The sequence below is a fragment of the Homo sapiens genome, chromosome 12 (genome assembly GCF_000001405.40).
Source record: "Homo sapiens chromosome 12, GRCh38.p14 Primary Assembly".
In the NCBI taxonomy this organism is placed as follows: domain Eukaryota; kingdom Metazoa; phylum Chordata; class Mammalia; order Primates; family Hominidae; genus Homo; species Homo sapiens.
Window position 1 is genome coordinate 89,367,142 of NC_000012.12, and position 27,708 is coordinate 89,394,849.

At 42.6% G+C, this 27,708-nt stretch overlaps 1 protein-coding gene and 1 long non-coding RNA gene across 7 annotated transcripts in view; one reads left to right on the forward strand and one right to left on the reverse strand.

Moving 5' to 3' along the window:
- POC1B-DUSP6 (POC1B-DUSP6 readthrough) overlaps nt 1–27,708 on the reverse strand; it is a 177,983-nt gene that overhangs the window by 19,077 nt on the left and 131,198 nt on the right. The window lies entirely within an intron of this gene.
- Nucleotides 14,998–27,556, forward strand: LOC124902980 (uncharacterized). The gene is made up of 2 exons (XR_007063400.1): nt 14,998–19,377; nt 27,231–27,556. It is a non-coding gene; the product is annotated as an uncharacterized LOC124902980 (long non-coding RNA).

Below are 27,708 nucleotides of genomic sequence, written 5' to 3' on the forward strand. Positions count from 1 at the left end.
AGGTGGGAGGATCACTTGACACCCAGAGTTCAAGACCAGCCTGGGCAACATAGTGAGACCCCATCTCTACAAAAATAAAACTAAAAAAATTAGCCAGGTGTTGCAGGCACCTGTATTCCTAGCTACTCAAGAGGCTGAAGTGGGAGGATCACTTGAGCCCAGGAGTTTGAGGTTACAGTGAGCTATTATCAGGTCACTGCACTCTAGCCTGGGAGACAGAGCGAGACCCTTTTTTTTTTGAGACAGGGTCTCACTCTGTCACCCAGGCTGGAGGGCAGTGGCGAAATCTTGGATCACTGCAACCTCTGCCTCCTAGTTTCAAGTGATTCTCCTACCTCAACCTCCCGAGTAGCACGCCTGGCTAATATATATATATTTTTTTAATGGAGACAGTGTTTCACCATAGTGGCCAGGCTGGTCTCGAAAACCTGACCTCAATTGATCCACCTGCCTCGGCCTACCAAAGTGCTGGGATTACAGGCATGAGCCACCATACCCAGCCAACCCTGTCTCTTAAAGAAGAAGAAGAAGGGAGAGGAGGAGGAGGAGGAGGATGAGAAGGAGGAGGAGGAGGAGGAGGAGGAGAAGGAGAAGAAGAGAAGGAAGAGGCAGAGGGGGAGGAGGAGGAGGACTAGAAGGAGGAGGAGGAATTATCTTATTATCTTGCCCATTAAATAAAAAAGCGTAAAAGTCCCTTGCTTCTTTCTTTTTCAGAATGGGGATAGTTTAAAAGTGTCTGTTTGCAATCCCCAAATATCATATTGCTTTTGGCAGCTGATATTCTTTAGCAGCTGATTAAGTGATACATATTTTACACAAAACAGAATATCCTGAATCAAAGGGATTTTGAATATTTATTTGAACTGGCTTTATCTCAGGTATATATCTGGAATTCACTGAAAATAAAATGGGTGGTAAGGACTCAAAGATGACAGAGGATAGCAACAACAATAACAAGATGGAGATCAGGAAGTAGGTATGCAAATACCTGTAGGTTGGATGTATATAGGAAAAGCTACCATATCAAACTGGGCAGAAGCAACCAATCCAGAAAAATAACTTCTAGCATCCAATCATATTGTGGTGAGATTAAACTCACAAGAAAGTTAAATGAGGTTTAGAGAACATATTCTCAACCCATACATACTTCATTGGAGCAACTCTTGTTAATCTTAAGGGGAATTATGGAACTCCATTCTTCCTTCTTATTTAGAAGAAAATAGATTCAAGGCCAAATTTGTAGGCCAAATTGAAGATATAACGAGATTTTTTTTTTAACTCATCGTCTTTGCCAAATTCTCTAGAACATAAAACCTGAGGCAAAGATTACTTGCTAAGTCTATGTTGGGTGGTGCAATTTCAGGGCTATAAAAGGGAATGAGAAAAAGGTGAGGCAGGAAAGGAAGGAATGCAAATACTAGACGGTGTGTTAAGGAGCTGGACATAACTTCACAAAGAACAAAGCCTGTTGCTGGGTCCTGCATGTCACCTTGAAACAGTCCATCAGGTGGGGAGGGCAGTGGGAGGAGCAATGGGGGGAGAAAGAGGAATTTATCTTCTTGACCTCTAGTCCCTTGATTCAAAATTTAACTCTGATTTAAGGGAGCCGTTGGGTAAGCCAGATTCCACATCCCACTAAACTGCCTGGAAGAGGTGGGAGGAGAGCAGCCATTAAGGTATGAGGTACAGAGTCCCATCAGGTGAGACCCATGTCTGTAGCCACTGAGGTTCCTGTTGCAACAGGTGAGATGTGATCTTCCCAAAGCCCCAGCTTCTTCCGCAGGAGGCTGAGACAGCAGGCCCACGGATGTCCATTCAGGAAGAGGCTAAGGCTTGGGGGTCAGGTGAAGAATCTTGAGAGACACAAAAATTGTTCTAGTATAGTCATGACTTAAAATTATAAAGAATAATTTTCAAGTCTTTTAGCAAATCCATGAATTGGTGTTTTTGTGGAGATATGAATGACTTTCAGTAAAAGAGTCACCGAATCATAATAGGTATGGAGGTGGAAATTCTATTATTAAGATTTATGATTACTGAAATATTTTCATGATTACTCAGATCCATTTCTGGACTGACCTTATGCTTAACCAGATGATGTTTATTATTAAAGCTGATTTTTAACGAGTGTTCATTAATAAAAAATGCTCTTAACCACAAGGCTTTGTTTCCAAGTGATGTATAATAATATGTGCTAAAACACGAATCTCAATTTCCAGATGCATATTTTACCAAAACACCTATTGCACTAAGGAAAATATGACAAATTCTTTTTTTTGTTTGTTTTTTTCCTTTTTCCCTTTGCTTTTTATTGCTCAGGAAACTATGATTGATTGAGTTTATGAACACATGAACAGGCAAGCACGTACACTTAAAAGATGAAACAAAGAAAAAAGTTGATCCATGTCATTCCATGAGAAAGGCTGCCCGCAGCACTCCAGCTCAAACACAGTGTCCCCTCAAGCTCTCTATCCCCCTCCCCACTCCCTCACCTTCCCTCTGATTCAGGGAAATCAGATTGGGAGGTTAGTGCATCATTGACAGAGAATGCCCTCCTTCCACGCTCTGTAAGTCTCCCCCAGAAGCGGGGAAGGCAGTTCCCTTCAGTAGCGCACTTAGGGTTGATTAGTGTTGGTTCCACAAGTTAAGGCACTTCAGGCTGCTTTAGTGGCAGCGTGGTTCCTCCCCTCCTTTTTTAAGGCATGTGTCCTCTAAGAGTAGTAAAGCTTTGGAAACTGTGCAGACTGTTAAAGTTGACAGCTTAATACAGGATCATTGAAGTCAGCAGGCAAAAGGATCCTCGGAGACACCTCCCTCAGACCAGAAGCTTCCAGAAGGCCTGGGCAGCTCTGTGTTTCGGCTGGGCATGGCACACTGGAGCCCCCCGAGGCCAGAGGGTGGTGCGTTCAGGTAGCAAAGACAGGTGGGCTCCGTCCCGCCTTCACCTGCAGCTGCCCTGGCTGCTGGTGGAGAAAATATGACAAATTCTAATTTTTCTGCACATTAATGTGCTGTGGTATAGGTCTAAGGGAGGGGGCGCAGATGGTGGTGATGGAAGTGGAAACAAAAAAATCAATGAAAGAGACTCTTGATAAAACAAGCGTCATATATCTAAAAATAAAATAATAACAAATGGTTATCCTAGCGTATACATCCAGATGACATTTGGAAATTTGCATAGAAGTAACAGAAGGGCTAAATGAAGCCTTCTGGAAAAGTCATAGTCTTTCAAACTTTATGTACTCTTGGATTCTAGAAACTCACTTCAGTTATTTAAGTGAAATGACCAGAATTAGTGTCATCTCCATACATTGAGCAGGAAGTTAACTTTGAGGAACTATACATGAGCACTTGTCCCTGAGGTTGTAGTATCTTTATGTCCTTTCCACGCCCTCGCCACAAAAAGCCCCAGCAAGAACAATCAATGTTTTCCTGCTTAACCCGTATTTTTATCTGAATGTACATTCTCCCTCCTCCCTCTTCCCTCTAGGCATTTGCTAGGCCCTTAGGAGGTCAGGCAACTTGCACTGTGGCACATGAAGAATATTCACATACTTCATATCCTGCAGGAGAAAGGAGACAGCACAAGAAATTCTGTTGTCACTAATTGAAAGTAGTTTATCACTTTATCTTTAGAAGGTCTAATGCCAAAACTTCAAGGAGATAATAAATAGTCCAGTCTGGGTTTGAGCCTGGAGTTTGGATGTCTAAGATGACTCCGAGCGGATGTGGATTTACGTGTTAGTACCTGAAAGTGGGCACAGCCCCCACCTTGGAATGAATGTACACTTCCAAAGGACTCGTTCCCACAGGGTGGTGGAAGGAACAACAGAGACAGCTATGTGCCCACATGCTCAGCCATCTGCCATTCCAACCACATGTCTCTCCCCCCGTTTCCTGCAAATGATTCATCTATTCTTTTTCTCCTTCTTCAAAGATAACTCTGTAAGCACTTAAGGAGGGGAAAGTCATTAAGAAAAGTGGAATCTGGAGTTATTAGGATGAGATAGAGCAGATTAAACAGTCTGGAATTTCACAAAGCAAACAGCACAGGGTGCGGACCCTGGGCCCGTCTCTCTCCTGCTGGTGCATCATTTCACAGGTTATCATCCTTCATGAACAGGTCAACAAAAATGGCCACAGGTAAACATGAGCATATGAGTTGCTAAAGAGAAAGAAAGACAGAGAACAGCAGAAGTCAGGAGGATTCTGGATTTTCCAACTGGAGCCTCTGTGCATCTTATCCAGCATCACAGACAGTGTCTGTCGCTAAGTGATGCCAAAGGTTTTACACCAATGAATGGGATCTTTGTGACGTTTTCCCAATAACAGACCAAAAAGCTGCCACTAAAATCATGCTTTTAAAGGAGATCCTGAACAATAGCCAGTGAAGGTGATTATGGCCATGTCCCCATGTCCATGAGGAGGTGCTTGGTGGGTATTTGTTGAATTGCATCAAACTGGAGTTGGATGGGACTCAGTTCAAATCCTGACTCTGCTTCCAGCTTCTGGTACATTAGGCAAGTTGCTAAACCTCTGGGCTTAGGGGATAAAGACACTACCTCACAGGGTGGAGTGAGGAGTAGAAGATAATATACGTGAAGTACTTCATGTGGTCTTTGGAAAGAGGTAGATAGATAGGCAAATATCAGGTGATTACAAATACTCCTTATAATTTCACTTCAGTTTGTACCGCATCTCACACCCTGAAGCTAGCAGGGTAAAGAGCTCTCAGGAGAATGAAGAGGCCTCTGGCCCATTCTAGTATGGTCTCTCCCATCAGGAGGGGAAAGGCAAATATTGCATGGGACCTGGCAATAAGATTGAATGAGACATAAGCAAAGTCTGATCGCATCCTTATCCCCACCCCTTAACAGCCACTATATCCCTTGAGGCAAGTGAAGGGCCCCAGAAGTGAGGGATCTTATTGCTAAGTAGATCAGACAGAGTTCTTAAAGATTCTAATATGTTGCCTGTATTGTCTCATCTGTAAAATGGGTGTTAAAATAGCACTCATATCTTGGGTTATGAAGATGAAAGAAGATAATCTATGTAAAGGACTGAGCACAGGGCCTGGGACAGTTAGTGATAGATACATGTTAGCTACTGTTGCTATTTTGTATTCCATGTTCAATCTATGATATTGATTAACCTGTTTATTGATTGCTGGATTTTCATTTAGTAAATTAATTTTCAATAAATGATTTTCACTTAAGCATTTGTTCACGCAGTCACTTCATTCATTTATTTATCATAAAACATTTATCAAGGTCCTATTCTATACTGACACTATGCTGGGCTCAAGAGATGCTGAGGCTTTTTGGGCAAGAAGGTTGAAGACTAGGCAGGGAGAGAGACCTGAACTAAAGCAGGAGAAGGCAAGGTGTAGTATACACATCATGGAGACATGTATAAAGCATTCCTGGAACCCAGAGGAACCAGGAAGTGCTGCTCATAAAAGATGCTTTTTGAACTAGATCTTGAAGAGTGAGTAGCCCGAGGAGTTTGGGCTTGCGAATTCTAGATAACAAGAACAGCTTGCCAAAAGGGATAAAGTTGTGAAACAAACAAACAAACAAAAAACAGGGTTTGGAGCCAGGAGGACTTTGGTGTGAGTGGTGTTTGGCCATTCTGCCTGGTGCCTTCCTTTGAATTTAGGTTCGACCCCCTGTGGGGGCCACAGAGAGTCACCTGCAGCTCAGTCTTACCCCAGGTGCTGGGCCCAAGTCTGCTCTTAGAGGAAATGTAAGTAGCTTATATCACTCAGTATCGGGTCAGCTAGGCTCTGGGTTCTGTTCTGAGCTCCTGCTCTATTTCTAGCTGTGAAGTTTCCACTTGATTCCTGTCACAGGCTCTACCTTGTATTCCAGTTCAAATAACTGGGCTTTGGCCTTTGTTCTTTCTTCTACATTCTGCCTCTAAGTTTCTCTAAGACTGGAATTTTGCCTTTCCTTATCAGTCCTTCCTAGAACTTCAGTCCCTCCCAGAACTTCAGTCCCCTCCTTGGCCCTGGGGCCTCACTCCAGGCTGCTTGATCCACTTATGGTTATTGCTTGCTGGGTTCACCTTCTTCTCCTTTCTGCAGGTGGAACACAGACTGATGACAACCACGTGCTGAGATCCCCTGTTACTGCCTAGACACAAATTGCTATCTAGGTCCTGTTTCACTGCCTGGCAGAACTGCCTTGCTACTTCTGGTTTGGCTCGCCATTGCCTGAATTCCTAAACTCCATTCTGAATATTACTAGTGAAAAATGCACGGCAGGGCGCAGTGGCTCATGCCTGTAACCCCAGCCCTTTGGGAGGCTGAGGCAGGTGACTCACCTGAGGTCAGGAGTTCGAGACCAGCCTGGCGAACATGGTGAAACCTCGTCTTTACTAAAAATACAAAAATTAGCCAGGCATGGTAGTGGGCACCTGTAATTCCAGCTACTCAGGAGGCTGAGGCATGAGAATTGCTTGAACCCGGGAGGCAGAAGTTGTAGTGAGCCGAGATCACACCACTGCACTCTAGCATGGGCTATATAGAGCGAGACTCAGTCTCAAAAAAAAAAAAAAAAAAAGAAAAATGTGCTACTTTGGTATTGAAATTAGCATCCAACATCAGCTTTTGGAGATACAGGTTATGCCATATACTTTGGTAAATTTCCCCCAAGCATTTAGACTTACAGAAGATATGCAGTAAAAGCTGTTGGAGTATATGCTACAAATGAGCCTTGGTGGTATGGTCCCAGGCCTTCCTGTGCTGATTAGCATTTTATGGCATGTATAATTTTCCTTAACATTGCTCAGGGGATTAGGACACTAGTCATATGCTGCCAGCCACAAGTTTTAAAAAACCAACTTAGGAATAAAATCACAACAGGAAATGAAGGCCATTTGGAAATTTGAGAACCCACATGTTCTCTATGTTATTTTCTTTTCTTATTTTTTTTTTTTTTTAGGAAGAGTTTCAAAGTTTCAACCTGTTTTAATGCTTGCCCATCTGGTTGTTTTATTAATGAAAACAGCAGCATCTTCTAATGCTCTTGTGTGAGGCAACAGTATTTTCCCAAAAAAATCACAGAAAAAACTTTGGGATTTGATGTACCATATTTTGTCTTTTACTTTTTTTCTTTGAAAAAATAAATCCCAACTGGAGATCATTTTAGAGAGAGTATGTGCTTAGAAATATTCAGTGAGTCATGCCTGGTGTTGTAGGTCTATTCCGGTGCGTGGGGTTTCCAGAACAATTACATAAGTGTTAGCATAGCCAGGAACTTTTGACATTTGTGGCAGCCTAATGGAGTTCTTTTCATCATTGAAAATATTCTAACTGTTGTTTCCTTAAATCTAAAATGCATAAAACTAGTGAAGCAGGATAAATTGATTCTGAGGCATTTCTATCCAGTATGCTTTGTTGGCAAAGAAACTGAAGAAAATTTACTTGAAATAAAATACAGGTGATCAAGCTGTTAACAAATACAGTGATCTAATCATCTGGCAGAAAGTGAGAGGATAAATTGTAAGTGAGACCTTTTTGTTTCTTCTCTTTCTTTTATCTATCAAGATTTCCAGCCCAGGCGTGGTGGCTCACACCTGTAATCCTAAGCACTGTGGGAGGCTGAGGCGCGTGGATTGCCCGAGCTCAGGAGCTTGAGACCAGTCTGGGGAACACGGTGAAACCCCGTCTCTACTAAAAATACAAAAAATTAGCCAGGCATGGTGGCTTGTGCCTGTAATCCAAGCTACTCAGGAGGCTGAGCTAGGAGAATCGTTTGAACCCAGGAGGCAGAGGTTGCCGTGAGCCAAGATCATGCCATTGCACTCCAGCCTGGGCAACAGAGCGAGACTCCGTCTCAAAAAAAAGAAAAAAAAAAAAGATTTCCTTTTCTTTTACAGCCTGACCATAGCATATTGTTTACTTGCACAACCCTACATAATGAGATTATTCAATCACATGTTTTTTAAAATTCGGGGATTCCAAAAGCTATTAGATCAATACCTTTCTTTAATCTTTCAAAAGATCACCAGGAAATAATGTGATATTCCACTACTACTAATTTGTTTGTTAAAATATATTTTTAAGTACCTGTGTTCCAAAGTATCTCCTAGTATGAGAAACTAGAGAAAGACCCAACCGAAGTCATTATCAATTAATTTTTTCTATCTCAAAGGTGAGCTCCCCAAATCCAGAGTTTAGGGGCTTTCTAGGGAGGGTGAAGTCCTTAGTTTTGTTTTTTTTTTTTTTTGAGACGGAGTCTCGCTCTATTGGCAGGCTGGAGTGCAGTGGCGTGATCTTGGCTCACTGCCACCTCCGCCTCCCGGATTCAAGCAATTCTCCTGCCTCAGGCTCCCGAGTAGCTGGGACTTCAGGTGTGTGCCACCACGCCTGGCTAATTTTTGTATTTTTAGTAGAGACGGGGTTTCACCATGTTGGCCAGGATGGTCTTGATCTCTTGACCTTGTGATCCGCCCGCCTCGGCCTCCCAAAGTGCTGGAATTACAGGCGTGAGTCACTGCGCCCGGCCGGAAGTCCTTAGTTCTTATAGATGATTGTTCAGTGTCTTGCACAATTTTGCTACTGCCTTATTTTCCTGCAGATAAGACATTGTAGTTATGGGTGTTACTGTATTTATTGGTTCAAAAGACATGGTGCAAAGGACAAGTAGGCCAAGCAGGCTCTGACTCATAGAGGTTGCTGCCTGCTTGTGCCCTGTGTGCGCCTTTTGAGTAAAGAGCACAGTCCACCAAGTCCAGCTCTGCATGCTCAAGTGCTATTGAATTCTTTCCACCTGACCACAAGTACTTGAGCACCTTTCCTCCATAGCAGAGCTGATAGCACAGAGCACACTGAGAATCCCTATAGGGAAGGTGTGGTGAGGCTGTGTGAACTGTGTGGGCTGTGGTCACGTAGTTGATCATGTAAGTGGGATCACAAACTTAGTAAGCATCCTGTGACACACCGTCATCATTAGAGTGTGCTTGTTGATGTTGGAGTACTATGTGCTATTCAGGACTATTTCCAAGAATTTAGTTGAATATATATCCTGGGCTGTAGGATACAGGATGAAAAGAGGATTTGGTGTCCCTGCCAAGTTTCCTAGATAATGCAGATAATTTCTTTTAGCAGGAAGTGACGTGTACATCTCAGGGCTGGGAAGGTGCAGTTATAGGAAATTAGCCTTAGCAAGAAACAAAATGCCAAAATCAAGACCAAGTGAGAACATAACTTCTAGACCAACAGAAAGGAAGTGAGGGGATCTGAGCTGCCCTGTTTTGTTTCTGAAAAACCACTCATCTTGCTCTTCTATATTCCTGACTTTCTCCATCCAGTAGGCACCAAGTCCAGCTAGCTCTGTCTCTTCTGATTTTGGAATCTGTCTTCCCTTCACCATCTCTCCAGTCATGGAGTTCAGTCTCTTACCATACTCACCTGGATTACTGCAATAGACACTAACTGGTCTCCCTGCTTTCAGTCTTCAACACCCCATATCTCACCAAAGGGATCTTTGTTGTCTGTCCATTGTTAAATGGTTGGGATTTATTGGGAGGATTTCTGTCTGCTCTCAGGATGGACCAGAAGTTTCAGAAATTGATAGAAATGGGTCGGGTAGGGATGGGTAGGGTTAGAACATTCAACCGTGTTGTCAGTGCCCTGCCCCAGAATGAATGCTCTTCCATCATTTCTCCATCTTTTCACCCTCTTTCTTCACTCCAGGGAGTGAACATTGTTCCAGCTTGGGTCAGGTGGCTGTTTGTTGGTGAGTAAGGGGTTCAGGGAACAGATTTAACAACTCAGCAGGCAATCCTTCAAAGGGAAATCAAGGTGGAATGGATACTGAGTTCTCAAAAATCAACATGTTCCCATGATATGTTGACTATAGAAGGGTCATCTAAGTGCAGTAGCAAATATAGTTTATAGTATTTACTCGAATGGCTTGTTAATTTATCTCTCTTCCTCAATAGACATTGAAGTCCCTGGAAGAAGAACCATGTCTTATTCATCTTTGTATGCCTGGCCTCTCATAGACACATACAATAAGTACTCATTGTATCAAAGAATGAATCAATGTTCCCGTAAGTGAAAGCTGTGTTTGGTCTAGTCTATATGCTTCCAGAACTACTTTATGGTCCCCCAGCCCCAGCCTTCAGTGACCCTGCTTCCTGAGCTAGAACTGCTCAACACTGACCTCAGCAGCAACGCACCTTCTGAGTCCACTCACCCTCTGGGTGCTCCTGAAGGGGCAGAGAGAGCCAAGCGGCTATATGTCAGATACAAGACCTCACTGTCTGCTTCCTTTCGTCCATCTCTTTTTTTTTTTTTTTTTTTTTTTTTTTGAGACAGAGTCTCACTCTGTCGCCCAGGCTGGAGTGCAGTGGCGCCATCTTGGCTCACTGCAGGCTCTGCCTCCCGGGTTCACGCCATTCTCCTGCCTCAGCCTCCTGAGTAGCTGGAACTACAGGCGCCCGCCACCACGCCCGGCTAATTTTTTTGTATTTTTAGTAGAGACGGGATTTCACCATGTTAGCCAGGATGGTCTCAATCTCCTAACCTCGTGATACACCTGCCTTGGCCTCCCAAAGTGCTGGGATTACAGGTGCGAGCCATCGTGCCCAGCCCTTTCGTCTATCTCTTATAGCACCATTTTAGCCTTCAGGGACTCCTAACATGCATTTGTTCCTGGAGTGCTTAGTAGTTGTGGATGAACTGATATCTATCTTACTTGGCAATGTAATAAAAGGAATGTGCTTTGACATCAGACAGAGTTGCAATATGAACACTTCAAGTACTAGCTGTGTGACTCTGGATACTTTTTTTTAACCTCTCGGGGTCTTTGGTTACACACAAGTCCAATGAAGATACTACAAGTGTAAATGAAATAATATATGCAAAGACACTTGTTATAACGCTTGGCATTTGACAGGTGTCCTGTGAATGTCAGCTCCCTTCTGCCTTTGTGGCTTATAGCAATAGGGGCATGAGGAAAATTTGCAGTGCTAGTATAGGTAATTTGAGCTGAAAGGAAAAAGAGAAAAAAGGAGAATGAACGTACCCAGTTGCTCTAACATGAATCAAAGTCAATGATTAACTTTTTACTGACTATATAAAATGCAACAAAGTTTAAATAAATGTAACAACTGGGCTTAAGGGAGAAACAAACCCATATATTTTCTAAAACAATAGAATTAGATATTTGGCAAACTAGAACCGGCACGGGCATAACAATTAAATTTCTTCTCTAATGAGCGTTGTTTGTTTTACTCTAGGATGCATTTGGATAAAATATTGGGATAAAATTTAGAGAGGTCTGTTTAGAAAAGGGAATTAAACATGATTGGCTATTATTGTGTCTTTGTTTTCTCATTTAAAAAAATTACAGAGGCCGGGTGTGGTGGCTCACACCTGTAATTCCAGCACTTTGGGAGGCCAAGGTGGGCGGATCACGAGGTCAGGAGATCGAGACCATCCTGGCTAACACGGTGAAACCCCGTCTCTACTAAAAATACAAAAAATTAGCTGGGCGTGGTGTCGGGCGCCTGTAGTCCCAGCTACTTGGGAAGCTGAGGCAGGAGAATGGCGTGAACCTGGGAGGCGGAGCTTGTGGTGAGCTGAGATCACGCCACTGCACTACAGCCTTGGTGACCGAGCAGGACTCCATCTCAACAACAACAACAAAAATACAAACAGAAAATTCAAGTACTGCAGTGGAAATATGATGGAGTTTCTATCAAATTATATCAAAAGTTGTTCTGGGGAGAACTTAAACCAATTCAACAGCTCAAAAGGAGGGCATGAAACCCACTCCTCCCACCTCCAGTAGCACTCCTTTTACTCATTTTTTTCCCCTTCTCCAAAATTCTAAACTGCTCACGCATTCCAGATTGTTCCTGAGGAGAATGAGCATATGCTATCCTGGTGTGGAAATGCCTGGTATGCTAATTCATAGTTTGGAGGAGAGAGAAGATATGAGGTCGAACTGGAAGATAGTGAACTAAAAATAATATAACCCACCTCCATGCCTCTCTCTTTAGCTCAGTGCCACATCTTCCCCTGCCAAAGGGAAGCCACGGCGCCACAACATCCTGAGGAGAGAGAGCCTTGATTTTTCTGTTGGGGACCCACTTTTCCCCTATAGGAGAAACGACCATCAATCACAATACCTTCCCCTATCCTGGCCAAAGGGAGGTTGGATCCCTAGCTGAAGGTAGGCCTATCAGATACTCTTGACCTGGAATTTCAGTGTGGAGAGAAGTGACACAAAAACTGAGAATGGTTGGAAATCATTTACCCTGGAGGCAATGAAACTAAGGAAACTGCATTATTCACAAAACCTGAATTTCTAGAGCTTCTCTTGTCCTTGAATAAAGCAGATTCTTCAGCCTCTCCTTCTGTGAGATACTCTATCCTTCCGATAAATTTGTTTGCTTAAGCTATCCAGAGTCAACTTCTGTTAACCTCATCACAGAATTCTGATGAAAATAGCTTCTCAGATGCTTCAGGCTCCAATATGCAATGCTAAAGGTCAAAATTTAGGGGTGGGGGAGGAGTCACTTGGGTCAAACATTTACTAAGGCACCAAGCTCAATTTTTCTGAAGACATTCTTCTCCCAGAGGTTGGCTTTATGGCATCCCTTACAGAGCGAGGGCCGCACAGGCCTGGGAAGGAAAAGGAGCCCCTGAGTCCATCTTTTCCTGCAACTAATTTGGTTAAAATCACCAGATTCCCTAATTCTCCTAATGCAATTCCAATGAGTCCCACAGATTCTAGAAAAGTGTCAGTGGTGCTGGTCTAGGTGGGTAAGTTTCAATCTGTCTTGTAAGAGGCAGTGACAAAGTTACACAGTAATTATATAACAGATTATGGTGGAGAAGCAGCCGCTGCCTTTAAAAAAAAAATCACTGCGTGGGAACTTTTCAAATCACAACCCTCCATTAGAAGCCTATATTTCCCAGAAGATCCTCATTCCTTCATTTAGGCAGCAGTTTTAAAGTCAGCTGGAACCACTGTTTCCTCATGACAGCAACGGAAAGGGCCAAACTGTATCTTATTTTACTAAATAAGCAGCGTGTCCTAGTCATGGCACTTTGTATCCCTAGGATGTCACCTTGTTTTGAAGTTATTTCAGCTTTGGTTTGAAAAGTATCCTGTCAGCAAAACCAGCCTTCTCCCCATGGAGTTTAGGAGCCAGGAGGGAGTAAGGGAAGGGATGCGTAGGAGATGATGTTCCTGAATCATTTACCAGGAGCCCTCCACCTGTTGAAATTATGTTCTCTTCCTCTCCCCTTCCCCCTCCCCCTTCTCCTCCTCCTCCTCCTCCCTCTTCCCTCCTTCCCATTCCCTCCTCCCCTGCTTCCTTCTCTCCCTTCTACTTCTCGTCTTTTATTTATTTGGTTTTGCTGCAGGTGCAACTCCAGTATCCTGATGGGGGAAGCAACTTAAGTGTTTTTTTGTTTTTTTAAAACAGAATCTCACTCTTGTCCACCAGGCTGGGGTGCAGTGGCATGATCTGGGCTCACTGCAACCTCTGCCTCCTGGGTTCAAGCGATTCTCCTGCCTCAGCCTCCTGAGTAGCTGGGATTACAGGCACCCACCACCATGCCCAGCTAATTTTTGTATCTTTAGTAGAGACGGGATTTCACCATGTTGGCCAGGCTGGTCTCGAACTCCTGACCTCAGGTGATCCATCCGCCTCGGCCTCCCAAAGTGCTGGGATTACAGGTGTGAGTCACTGTGCCTGGCCCAGTGTATTCTTTTATTCAACAACATTTGTTGAGTATCCTGGACCAGGTACTGGTAAACTAGATAGGCAACGTCCTTGCCTTGGAGGAGCTTCTATTCCAATGGAGGGAGACAGAAGCCAATGATGATTTCAGATCTGCTTGGCCCACAGGGAGCCCCTGGGTCTAACATATGGGCAGGGGATTCCAAAGTCCTTACTTTCCAGGTGGAAATGGTTGCTTGTATGAAGTAGCAATTAGATGAACACTTCAGACAAGGACAATCAAAACAGGAAGTTGTCGATTTCAAATACCTTCAAAGAAGGAAAATGTTTCAGGGAAGCTTTTACTTCCATGGACTTATTTCAGCAGTTCTTTGGTCTTATGTGAGACCTTTTAATGAGTCCCTTGCATTTATGAAATGCTGTATGACTGCACACAGTCCCTTCGTGCATGTGACTTCACTTGGTCCTGTGAGAAGGACTGAGCAGGTATTATCCTGATTTTACAAATGAGAAAACTGAGGCTCAAACAACTTGCCCAAATGCACCCAGCTAGCTTAGGTGTATGACTAGAAACCAGGCTTTCCCCTTTCCTGATCAACACCACGAACCTCACTTCTCTCTTGCCTCCCTCATGGTCATCTTTTTCATCCATCACGAAGGGCGCTGCTGCTGTGGGTTTGACTGGGATTACCCATGATATTTTAGGAATATGATATTCTGGGAAAGAGGACATACCCCCCAACATACACACACTCCTAAAAAGTATATATCCCTGTAATTTGCTACCATCATTTGTCAAAAATTATTAGCTTCAAGCCTTTATGGGGGCCCTGGCTCAGAGACCATTCAGGAAAAGAACCAAATTTCCAGTGGCATCTATCTGTTCTAATGCCAGCACTGTGGTCATAGGAAGCCATCCACAGAGGATACAACATACCTAATTATTATTTGGCATCAAAAACACCAGGAGCAGGAATATTGATGACATATTAACAGTGACTTCTGAATGTATAACCATATTTGCCTGATTCATCCATCCCTATAAAAATTGATCAAGCTGGGCGCAGTGGCTCATACCTGTAATCCCAGCACTTTGGGAGGCTGAGGCTGGAGGATCAGCATAAGCCCAGGAGTTTAAGACCAGCCCAGACAGCACAGTGAGACCTCATATTTACAAAACTTAAAAAAAAATAGCTTGATATTTTGGCATATGTCTATAATCTCAGCTACTAGGGAGGCTGAGGCAGGAGGATTGCTTGAGCCCAAGAGGTTGAGGCTGCAGCAAGCTATAATCATGCCACTGCACTCCAGCCTTGGCAACAGAGCAAGATGCTCTCTCTCTCTCTCTCTCTTTTTTAAATGATCAGTTTAGTGATAACAGAGTGGAAACCACATATAAATAAACTTTATTACAATAATGTGTCCTCTACTAATGAAAGTTAAGATTTATCTAACATCTCTTATGAACCAGCCCCTATGCTAAGTGTTTCATGTAATTATCTCATATAATCTTTACCACAGCCTTTTAAGTTAGGTGCTGTTATTATAACCATTTTACAGATGAGGAAATTGAGGCTCCGAAAGGTAAACTGTTTTGCCCAACAATATATAGCTACATGGTGATAGAACTAGTGTTTGAAAGTTGGGCGGTCCGACTGTAAAATCTCTTTCCTAATCACTGTTCTAATTGGTGCACAGATTATTAGAGTTAGACCTTAGTTGAACTTCCTATTTTAGACAGATGGAAGCAGAGGCCCTAGCAGATTAAGGATCTGCTTAACGTCTTCACCAACAGAATGAGACTTGCTTCTACATTGCCTCTCAACTGGAGAAGAGCTGGAATGAGTCTTTTGATTTTCGCCTATAGATTTACAGAAGAATATCTTTTGAGAATTTGAGTAGAGAATATCCATGCCATGTAAAGTGGAATCTTGACAAACTTGTACTCATGAACCCCGTTATGAGGTTGTCTATTCAACCATAAGAAACATTTCTAAGTGACTAAAAACTAGCCATATTCTAGTAGGAGTCCCCTATTCTACCTAGGTCTGTTCTGATAAGAGAAACCTGGAGCAATCTGTTTCAAAACAATAAATTTATCTGAAGCTTCCAGAGGAGTCATCTTTGAAAAACTCATAAGCAAGGAGTTAACTGTTGTAATAAGCCGATGGTAATAGTGCAGGTTTTATTACTTTTGTTTTGGTTGGTTTTCTTTTCTTCTTTTTTTCTTTTTTGAGTTCAATAAACCACACTGAATGTTAATAATCCATTAGTTCTAGAGGAAACATTTTTAGCTCCAAGAAAATTACTTTTTCCTCCCAAATCTGAACCTGTAAACACCAAAGCTCTTTGTCTTATAAAAAGGCTTAGCGTTAGTTGTTTCAACAAGATTAGCCCTGTTGATCTGAAGCACCTGTGCTTCCAGAAAATGTAGGACATTATCAATTTTTAACATTTGTCCAGGAAGCTGTGCTTGGACTAATGTTATTTATCCAGCTGGGTATACTGACTAGGACAGAGCAGATGAAAGTAGTTGGGGATTGTGTAACATCTAAGATTGGCCCTGATAATCAATCCAGCCTGGAGCACATGGACATGATTACAAAATACCATCTTCCCTTTTTTTCAGGATACTGATAAAACAGAAGGCAGTGCTATCTGCCATAATCCACTTCAAGAATTCTGCGGACCTGTTTTTAGGTCACTTAGTTGTTCTGCTTAGTTTTCTGGATGGTGAGCACACAGAAGGCACAAGATGAAAACTCTAACACACAATTTGCATCAATGACACCCTTGGGGTTGTTAAAAGAACAAATAAAAAGGGGTGTGGGAGGAGGTCTGTGGAACTGTGTGCGCCACCTCCGTATGGGCTTACTTTGGCCTTCTCCAGGGAGGAACTCTGTGCAACTGCATCCCCATTCCTGTCCCCTCCGCCTGCACACACTGGAATAGCAAGAAGGCAGCAGAGAGCACACAAAAAGACACTCAGTAGGGGAAACAGTCCCACTGTTTAACCTTGGGTGTTCAATGAACACAGTAGGGCTGGGGGCGGGAGGGCCAAAACAGGAAGAGGAAAAATACAAGATGGTTTGGTAAGAAAGCAAAAATAGAAAGAGTCCCAAATTTTTAAAAATAAAAATAAAATCAAAACCAAAAACCACAGGCTGCATTTATCTGAGAAGCGAGAAAGTGAAGGAAGCAATTTAAACTAGAACGATGCAAAAGTGGCAGGCGGCACAGGGAGCTCCCACTGCCTTCCCCAGCAGGACTGCAAGGGTGGGAGGATCCATTCAAACCAAGCACCTCCAAGCTTGGCAAAGGATTGCTCTCTGAATGACGCCAGGCCTCACCCAGCTGCTTGGAAACAAGCTTGCATGAAGGTAGGAGGGAAAGGATTGCAGAGAACCTGCTGGCGTGCTTCTTCCCTATCTGAGTTTGAATGCTTCTCAGAGAACTTTAAAGGCTGACGGCTAAATTTAATCAGAGTTAAATCATTGAAATGAAGATGTTCTCATGCAATACAAATGAAAAGTGATTCTGCCAGTGCTTTCCCTATAAGGCAATGAATGGTACAGGCTCCTAAGGAGCAGCCCAGCAGTTTGGAAATGTTATGAATTCAGGGGAGGCAGGAAATGTGAAAGTCTGGTTCATTGCTACTATTGTCTTCCGGGGATTTTTGGCCTGGAGGTGAAACAGGCAGGGTTTTACAGCTGGTATTGTGCAATGACTGAGCACTTGCTCGCTCCCAGTTCAGTAAAATTCTTCATACATGGCATCCTAACTACATTATTTCAGACAGCTGTTTTCTCTAAGGAACTCCAAATATTTTCTGCAAAGGCACTTACATAAACCTTACAACCGTGGACTTAGACTGAATGAAACATTAGTTTGTTGTTTCAAGACAGTTTGGCAATCTGATTTGTGCCAGTTTAATCATTTTAGAAAATGTACAGGTCCAGTTCTGGTTCAGACTGGCTTATCTTCACATGATTTATTTTCCATAAAAGTAAATGTTAAATCATAGTGATAAGTCATGTATGCTTGATACAATGTGACGAGAAGAGCACTTTACCTCTGTAAGCTGTGCTTCCAAAAACCCGTAACTCCTGTCTAACCACAGGAAGAACATTAAATAAACCCAAATTGAAAAACATTCTACAGATTACCTCACTAGTTCTCCCCAGGGTCATCCCAAACCAGGAAAGTCTGGAAAACTGTCACAGTCCAGAGAAGCCTAAAGAGACATGACAACTAAATGTAATGCAGTATCCTGTTGATACATTGCTATTGACCTTTCCTGGAACAGGAAAGGATGCGGGGGAGAGACCAAGGCAATCTGAATAAAGTATGGTCTGCAGTCAATAGTAATGTATCAATTTTGGTTCCTTAATTGTGACAAGTATACATAATATAGGATGTTGACAATAAGCAAACTAGATGTGCAATACATGGAAACCTTCTATATTCACAACTTTTCTACAGATCTAAACTAGTCTAAAATTAAATGCTTATTAAAAAATAAATGTCACACCTGTAATCCCAACCCTTTGGGAGGCCAAGGCAGGAGGATCGCTTGAGCTCAGGAGTTTGAGACCAGCCTGTGCAACATGGTGAAACCCTGTCTCTACAAAAAATACAAAAGTTAGCTGGGTATGGTGGTGCACGCCTGTAGTCCCAGCTACTCTGGAGGTTGAGGTGGGAGGATGGTTTGAGCCTGGAAGGCAGAGCTTGCAGTGAGCACAGATTGTGCCACTATACTCCAGCCTGGGTGACAGAGTGAGACCCTGTCTCAGAAAAAAAAAAAAAAAAAAAAAGTCAAAAGTTAGTCTCATGAGTCTGCAAAATCAGTAATTTGAATCCATTTCAGGTTTCAAATCATGGTTGGTTTAGATCCCTGTTCCTAGTGTCCTATTTTTATTGGAATTTTACCAAGAGGAAAATTGAAACATAAAGACAGGGCTGAACACAAGGTGAGGGCTGATGTGACAAAGGAGAATTTCTCTTCTGGAACTCATCTACCTGGCTCTCCACTCAAGCACCTGGCCTCTGGACATTGCCTAATTACCTTCTGCCAAGATAGTGGGTAATAAAGGAATTTCAGGTGTTACCTTTGTAAGAGTTTATGTATTTTAATGGGATATTATGAAGAGAGAAAATGGGTGCTGAGGAATGATTTCAGCCCCTACCCAAACAACACAGGGTAGTCACTTAGTTTTACGGCAGCGGCTATCATTTCTGAGACTTAAAGGCACGACTCCCTGGAGACAATCCGGGATAATGTGACTTCTCAACTCACGCATATGAAATACAGTCAGTGTGGGAGTGAGTCCTGGAGCCATGACAGCAAGAGGCCAGCCTCTAAGAGATGATCCGTACCTTGCTTTTCGGTCTTTAATAACTTGAGATATTGCTGCCAGCTACTTAACCAAGCTCTGCAACTGCTGTAATGAGAAAGTGATGACCTTTGGACTTACAAAGTCCTGCACTCAAGTCCCCCATGTCCAAATTTGCCACTTCCTGGATGTGTGGCCCAGGTCAGCCTACTTAATCTTGCTGATATTCCAGTTTTTCATCAGGAACAAGGCTGATCATAATACTACCTTGAAGGATTGCTGTGAGGACTAGCTAGAGGGATTGTGTGAGAGTCCCTTGCCCAATGTCTGGAACACAGTAGGTATTGAACAAATATTCTTTCCTTTTGCCCTTTCCCTCCTTTCTCACACAGCAGGACAGTGGAGACAGGCACAGCCTGGCAGCTCAGCTCCTCTCACAAATCGTTCTCTCTGTTCTCACGAGATTAGCATTTCTAATAGGATCAGGAATTCTTTCTAATTCATTGATTATTAATCCTGATGTTTGCAAATAATCTCTCCTGATTTGCGCAGAACCAAGAACTTAATGCTCTTTCAGGGTTTAAATTTATTTATTATTATTTTGTTGTTATTCAGTGGAAAGGTCCAATTTTATTCCACCAGAAATTGTCTGGATGGCTCTCCTGCTAGATAATTAAAGCTAATGGAGCCCAGGAGCTATGCAAAGTAGACACTAAAAGAGGATTGTTTAAAACAAGATGGGAACCGTCTGCTAATAGTGCCTTGCAGCCAGAGATGTCAGGACATCTCAGTAGAATTGTGGTAACAAATAAGCAAGAAGCAAGGTACCTAAGAGAGCTAAGAGTGGTGGGGAGAAGAAGAAAAACAGAGCAAGCAGGCAGACAGGGTAAATAGGGAGAGACCCCTCAATACAGAGACGGTCTAGAGGTGAAAAAACTGGGGAAAGCTGTTTCTGAAATCTTCATAGGGGACTTCGAAGGGAAAAATTTCCCAACATCCAGGCCTTTTATAATTTTGAGTAACAGCTGCCTTCACAGTAAATGTGTTTCTGTCATGATACGTGTACAAGTACATCCCTTATTCCAGGCCTGTCCTCACAGTGTGGCCTGCCGAACTGTGCAGTTTACATCTAACCGACATAGAAAGCTTCTGCCTTTCAGCAAATCAAACGAGCATTCGAGTTAAATGGCCACACTTTCATTATTGTTCTTATTATTCACAGTCTGCATTACTACCACAACAGTGGCACCGTTAAGCAATCCGTCATTTGGGCCAAACGTGAGTTTGAGGAATTCCACAGAGATCTTTTCATATTTGACCCAATAGAGTCTTCCAAGGAGTCTTCTGAACCACTGGGGTCAGGAAGGAGACATGAATTTTAAGGGTTTTACTACCAAATGTCCTTTGCTTTATTATTATCATTATTATTATTATTATTTTTAAACAGGGTCTTGCTCTATCTCCCAGGCTGGAGTACAGTGGCTGGAGCGTGGCCCACTGCAGCCTTGACCTCCCAGGCTCATGTGATCCTCCCACCTCTTGGCCTCCCGAGTAGCTGGGACTACAGGCACACACCACCACACACAGCTAATTATTGTTTTTTTTTTTTTTTTAGAGATGAGGTTTTGCCATGTTGCCCAGGCTGGTCTCAAACTCCTGAGTTCAAGCAATCCTCCCACCTTGGCCTCCCAGAGTGCTGGGGTTACGGGTATGAGCCACTGCACGTGTCCCTTTGCTATGTTTAGAAATTTTTAAAATAAAAAACAGTTATCCATGTTTATGGTAGAAAATTTTGAAAGTAAGAACCATCTAAATAAATATCACCCATTACCTCATTAACCAAGGATAATGCTATAAACATTACTGTTTTCTTTTTCTTTATTTATTTCTTCTTCTTCTTCTTTTTTTTTTGAGCCAGAGTCTCCCTCTGTCGCCAGGCTGGAGTGCAGTGGTGCAATCTCGGCTCACTGCAACCTCCGCCTCCCTGGTTCAAGCAATTCTCCTACCTCAGCCTCCCGAGTAGCTGGGACTACAGGCACCTGCCACCATGCCCAGCTAAATTTTCTTGTATTTTTAGTAGAGATGGGGTTTCACCATGTTGGCCAGGATGGTCTCAATCTCCTGACCTTGTGATCTGTCCACCTCAGCCTCCCGAAGTGCTGGTATTACAGGCATGAACCACCGCACCCGGCCTCTTCTTTTTCTTTCAAAATTGTGTTTACATTTTCAATATAAAAGTGGCATAGAAAATGTGGAAAACAGGGAAAAGAAGAAAAAAAGTCCATAATTATTCCACCTTAACTACTATCAAAATTTTGGTACATTTTTTCCTTAGGTTCTTTTTTGTCTTTATGAATAACATTCCTCCTTTAACATGGCAGCAACCAAACTGTATATACAATTTAGTATTATGACACTTTTGCCTGACATCATCAGAAGCTTTTTCAGGGTGACAAGTTTTGTTTTCAAAAATTTTCATTTCTACCAGCACTCTAATACTACATAGAGTAGTTATATTGTTGCTTACATTAAACTATTTCCCTAGAGTTAAAATTTAGTTTGTTTCCAGAATTTGTTATTAGAAATACCATTGTGTCAACAGTACTACACTAATAATTTTATTTTATTTTATTTTACTTTTGAGATGGAGTTTCACTCTTGTTGCCCAGCCTGGAATGCAATTGCACAATCTTGGCTCACCGGAACCTCCGCCTCCCAGGTTCAAGCGATTCTCCTGCCTCATTCTCCCAGGTAGCTGGGATTACAGGCATGTGCCACCATGCCCGGCTAATTTTGTATTTTTAGTAGAGATGGGGTTTCTCCATGTTGGTCAGGCTGGTCTCGAACTCCCGACCTCGTGTGATCCGCCTGCCTCGGCCTCCCAAAGTGCTGGGATTACAGGCGTGAGCCACCGCGCCCGGCCTATAAAATTTTTTAAAGATCCTGGAAGTGGTATAATTCTGTTATCTCAAGTTGTTTCTATTATGTAACAGACAATTATTGAGTGCCTTGATACATGCAGGATGTTAGAATAGCTAACAGAATAAGATATAGACCCTATACTCTGGAGACTAGTCATATAGCAGAGATAGATACTTATACCACACCTTTAAGTTCACCTTGAGAAGTACTACAATAGAAGTGCCAGGATCTAATGTACAGAAATCATTTGTTCTGTATTTGGCTCATAGTAAGTGCCCAGTAACAAAATGATGACAATAATGATGACTGCAGCCACCACACTTTTTCTTTTTGAGACAGAGTCTTGCTCTGTTGCCCAGGCTGGAGTGCAGTGGCACGATCTCAACTCACAGCAGTCTCCACCTCCCAGTTCCAGCGATTCTCCTGCCTCAGCCTCCCAGGTAGCTTCAATTACAGCATATGCCACCATGCCCAGCCAATTTTTGTATTTTTAGTAGAGGCAGGGTTTCACCATGTTGGCCAGGCTGGTCTCGAACTCCTGACCTCAGGTGATCTGCTTGCCTCGGCCTCCCAAAGTGCTGGGATTACAGGCGTGAGCCACTGCACCAGGCCAGCCACCACATTTCTCATAGAATCATTTAAATGCTGGTTTCCGTGATCCACATTTATAGAAAAACAAAATCAAGAGAGCAACGAAAAGTTACTCATTAATTATAAAATCACTGCTAACCCACTATATGTCTAGGCTATGGCAGCAAATAGCAAAGATTATGAAGTTCCTTTTAATTGCTAAGACAAAGTTCCTCATAGAACACAAACCACTTCCATAGTAATATACTAATAGTGTGAGGTCAAACCAACTTAAATGCTGTCAGACAGCATGACTGTCCTCTTCTGAACATGACATGGGTCAGATAGAGTTATTTTTAGATAAGAGATAAGTCAGCTTAACTACACTTCTATGTCTTTAAAAATAAAAGCCCATATAACTTTGGGGACCAAGACAGATTAAGGGAATGCTAAAATTTTCCATAGGTAGATTTTTTTTTTTTTTGCATGTAATTCCTGATTCCCACCATTGCTTTCAGCAGCCCGGTCCACAGACCTGAACAATGGTTAATGTTTAAAAAGGTACAGCGTGTTCTGCTTAACAACTCTGCTCATTTCCTCTTCCTGATGGTGCTGCTGTGATTGCAGAACTCAAGTAAGGGCTTTTTACTATATGAGAATACATGAGAAATGATGCTCAAGTCATAATAAATGTGAGATTAAGGTCACTTGAAGATAAGAAGGTTGCAGCCTTAAGGAAAAACTTCAGTTGGCTTGGACCTCTGCGGGGGCAGGTTTACTGTAGTTTGTGGAAATAACCCACAGCTACTACTGAAATATGTGTAAGGATTTCAGACAGGAAATGAAGGAAATGCTGCATTAAACTAAAAGCACTTTAGGATTTAAATAAGCCGAATATAGATTCTCTGGTGAGAATTTGATCAGGGCACTGCTGGCATTGGCCCACCCTCTCATCTACAGTAGTGGAATTACAGTCTGCCTATCAAGTCCAGAATACAAAGTGCTTTCAGTCCTCTGACTATCCTCTTTCCTCTTTTATTAATTCCATTTCTCATTAAAATCCCCTGTACAATGTTCCATGAGAGTGAGCTCAAGGCAGCTACTGACATTTCCCATAAATGATACGCCCAATCTTCTTCCTACTAATCCAATTAGTTCTACTTCCTTCAAACTTCATTCAAAACTCAACTCATCTGATCTATGCCTGATGACCTTACAGTCATTCCTTGTCACTGTAAACCCTCAGCAGTTATTGTTGACTGATTTGCTCACTATGACCATGTGTTTACTTGTGCCTGGCATTAGGCTTGGTGCTGGGGCTACACTGATGAGTAAACCCCAGTCACTGCCCTCATGGAGGTCACAGTTCACATGAAAAAAACATCCTAATAAACTGTGATAAGGGCAATGGTCAAGATAGGCATGCGGAAGTATGAGGACAAGACATTCATCCTCTGGGGTGTCAGAAGGCTTCCTGGAAAAGCTGATGCCTGAGCTGGATTTTCAAGTAGAGGAAGGTCGGGGAGATATAGATGGTAGGTAGTGTAATCCATGAACAGTTGAGATGGCCCTGTGTGCCATGGTATGCTTGGGTGTATTCATGACTTTCACTTCATGAGAAGTTCCCTGTATTTGGGTTCTTTTCCTACAATTGAATTATAAGCTCTTCCAGGAACCATATTTTCTACTTATTTTGCCTTCTTCCCCTTGGGTCTCTTACAGTCCCCAGAGAGTTTTAAAGAGTTGTGTTTCACCATCCTGGGAAACACACTGCTGACTCACTGACCACCTCCAGGCCACTCTGCCCACCGTGTGTTAACAAGACTGTGTGGCCATGGAAAGATATGTAAGGCTGCAAGCCTTTTATCAGCTGTCAGGATAGACCCAGGAAGACACACAGGTCTGACTCAAAGCACATATATACTGCCTAATGGAAGAAACCATCCAAACCACTTACCCAGAAGTTCCACAAGCCCATCACATGCCATCCTTCCACTATTTCATATTCTTAGCCTTTGGTATGGTGATTTAAATTTTACATTCAAAGAGTTCTGCACCAATATTTCTATTAAGATTTCATTGGATAATTTTAAAAAGTCACTAAGCAAGTATGGAATGGATTTTCTACTCATCCCACAGAAACAGAAAGTAACCATTTTTTAAAATTAAAATCTTAAAATTGATATGGTGGATACTTTTACTGAGGTGGTCCCTGCCTCAAAAGTTGCCACTGCTGGGCAACTCACTGTCCTCTCTTAAGTCATGTGACTTTCTTTAGCAGTGGAAATACTTAGTGCACCTCATGAGTCTTGGAGAGTTTCGTTGAGTTCCTTTGCTTTGCAATGAGAAGATCGGATCCAGGTTGAGGTTGAGGGCGGGTATATGTGCTTTGTTTCCGGCCTCATATTTGGCCTCTAGGTAAATAGAACTCCACATTTCAAGGCTACCAAATCTTTCATGGATGGTTAAATCCCAATCCCTCCCCCACTCCAGGGTCAGGGGTGGAGGAAGGAGGAGAGGTAGAACAACAGGGTAAACTGAAAACAATCAATCAAAAAAAGACAGAAAAAAAGCACCGAGCCAGTTTCACAGGCTCCGTTGCTCCAAAGCCATCATTTCAAGGTTATGGCTTTAAAATTATGGAGGAGGCAGCTTTCACCTGAGCCCTCCTTAATGGAAACAGCTGGAATCTAGCCTGCCTTTGGAAATAAGAGAGGACAATCCTGGAGCATAAAGCCAGCTGGGAAAAACTGGTCACTGAACACAAAGCTTTTTGAACTACCAAATAAAATACATGGGTACTTTATTTCCGATGACCCAGTAGCAGGGCCTAAATCATATTTGAGTGTGAAAATGAAATTAATGGCCTGTGTAAATTCCCCAACTAGAGTTTCCAAATTCTGGTCACCGGTGTCCTAACAAGCAAACCGCACAGGGAGGAGATGGTTAAATAACAGCCACTTCCAAACCCAAGGCTCTATACCACTGAGGAGGAAGAAAGACAAGCCATACTTCCTAATTTAGTTAAACTAAATAGTATCCAGATCCAGTTACCCATTTCAAACATATTAGAATAACTTTATGCAAATACTTTGGGAAAGCAAATAATATTCATGAGTGACCTTAACTACAAGCCCCTGTGTCCTTATTAGTCTATCAGAGATATTAATATTAGAACTTAACTCAAAAGACAGTGAGGACATGTTTTCATATAAAAAAGACATGTAGGCCAGGCAAGGTGGCTCACACCTGTAATCCCAGCACTTTGGGAGGCTGAGGTGGGCGGATCACGAGGTCAAGAGATTGAGACCATCCTGGCCAACATGGTGAAACCCCATCTCCACTAAAAATACAAAAACTAGTTGGGCGTGGTGGCACGTGCCTGTAATCCCAGCTACTCGAGAGGCTGAGGTAGGAGAATCACTTGAACTCAGGAGGCGGAGGTTGCAGTGAGCCAAGATCGCACCATTGCACTCCAGCCCGGGTGACAAGAGCGAAACTCCATCTCAAAAAAAAAAAAAAAAAAAAAAAAAAGACATGTAATGTTTTCAAGTCCTCACATGGTAGGCACCTAAAGGTAATTTGCTTCCTCCTTTTCTTCCACGATTCTGACTCCATTTTCTTATGATCTTGGCAGTTGGCTATAAAACCAACTTCTGGCTTTTCTTTGCTCATGTTTGCATTCCCAGCAGGGTCTTGAAAACTCATCGAGAACAGAAATCTTGTCTGATATGCTGTTGTTCCCACAGAGGGCTGGACATAGTAGGTAGACAGTAGGTGCTCCATGCATTTCTTTTTATGCCTGCAATGAACTGCTTCACTCTTTTCAGATGTTTCTCCCCTCTTAATTACACACAAAGGATGGTAAGAAAACATAAAATGTTTTTCAATACTTCATGGCCTTTCCCCACATTTTAAGACAACCAGTCTAACAGGAAAGGAACCAGAAGGGGGAAGCTATTTCTTAACATATTTGACCTAATTAAAGGGCGATGCCTGAATTTCCCAACGAGGACAGCATTACTGGAGAGATAACCCTCCAAATGGCTTTTTAAGTACAGTCCCAGCAAAATGAAAGTTTAAAGGAATTATCCATCCAAGAGTGTGTTTTACAGATAACCCCTTAGCTTTACTGAACACAGCTCTCTAATCTGTTGCAAAATACCAGCACTCTTGTGGCTGCCTCATTGATACCATCAACCACCAGGCAGAGAAAGTTTGGGGTGACTTGAACTTCTATAGATAGACTTCTATAGACAGATACTGAAGGACATTCAAGATTACCCAGTTTTGCATTTCACAGATAAGCAAGCTGAAGCCAGAGAAGTTACATATGTTAGAGATGCAAAGATGAGTATGACGTTGTCCTTGCACTCAGGGAGCATGCATTCTAAGAGGGAATGAGAGACAAGAAATATTCAGCTGTACAACAACACAGAGTGATGAACGTAAAGGATAGCATGAGGGCCAAAATTCAGTTAAGGAGAGTGAGTCACTTACTTTAAGCCCTAAATTTAAAGGGACACCAAAAACTCAGTAATCAAAGAATATTATAAAGATAAAGACAGTATCACTAGCATTACTAATTTTTTCTTTTGATTCAGGCTCCAGTATGGCTCAGTAAGACACTATTGCTGATCCTGTCATTAGTATTTTAATAATTCGTTCACATGAATTTTTGTATTTAAAATATTGCAGGCTGGGCGCAGTGGCTCACGCCCGTAATCCCAGCACTTTGGGACGCCGAGGTGGGTGGATCATGAGATCAGGAGTTCGAGACCAGCCTGGCCAACATGGTGAAACCCGTCCTGAATAAAAATACAAAAACTAGCCAGGCGTGGTGGCACACGCCTGTAATCCCAGCTACTCTGGAGGCTGAAGCAGGAGAATCACTTGAACCTGGGAGGCGAACTTTGCAGTGAGCTGAGATTGTGCCACTGCACTCCAGCCTGGGCGACAGAGCAAGACTCCATCTCGAAAAAATATAAATAAATAAATAAATAAAGTATTGCATTAAAATAGTCTTTCTCTTAGTTACTGAGTTTTTTGTTGCCACTTCCCCCTGCCTCCCTCTAAAATTTTGTACCCTAGGCAAGGGCCTCACTGTCCTCTCTGGGAGAATCTACCAGAGGCCAGGGTGGGGCTGGGAGGAAAAGGAGAGGCTTTTATGTGTATT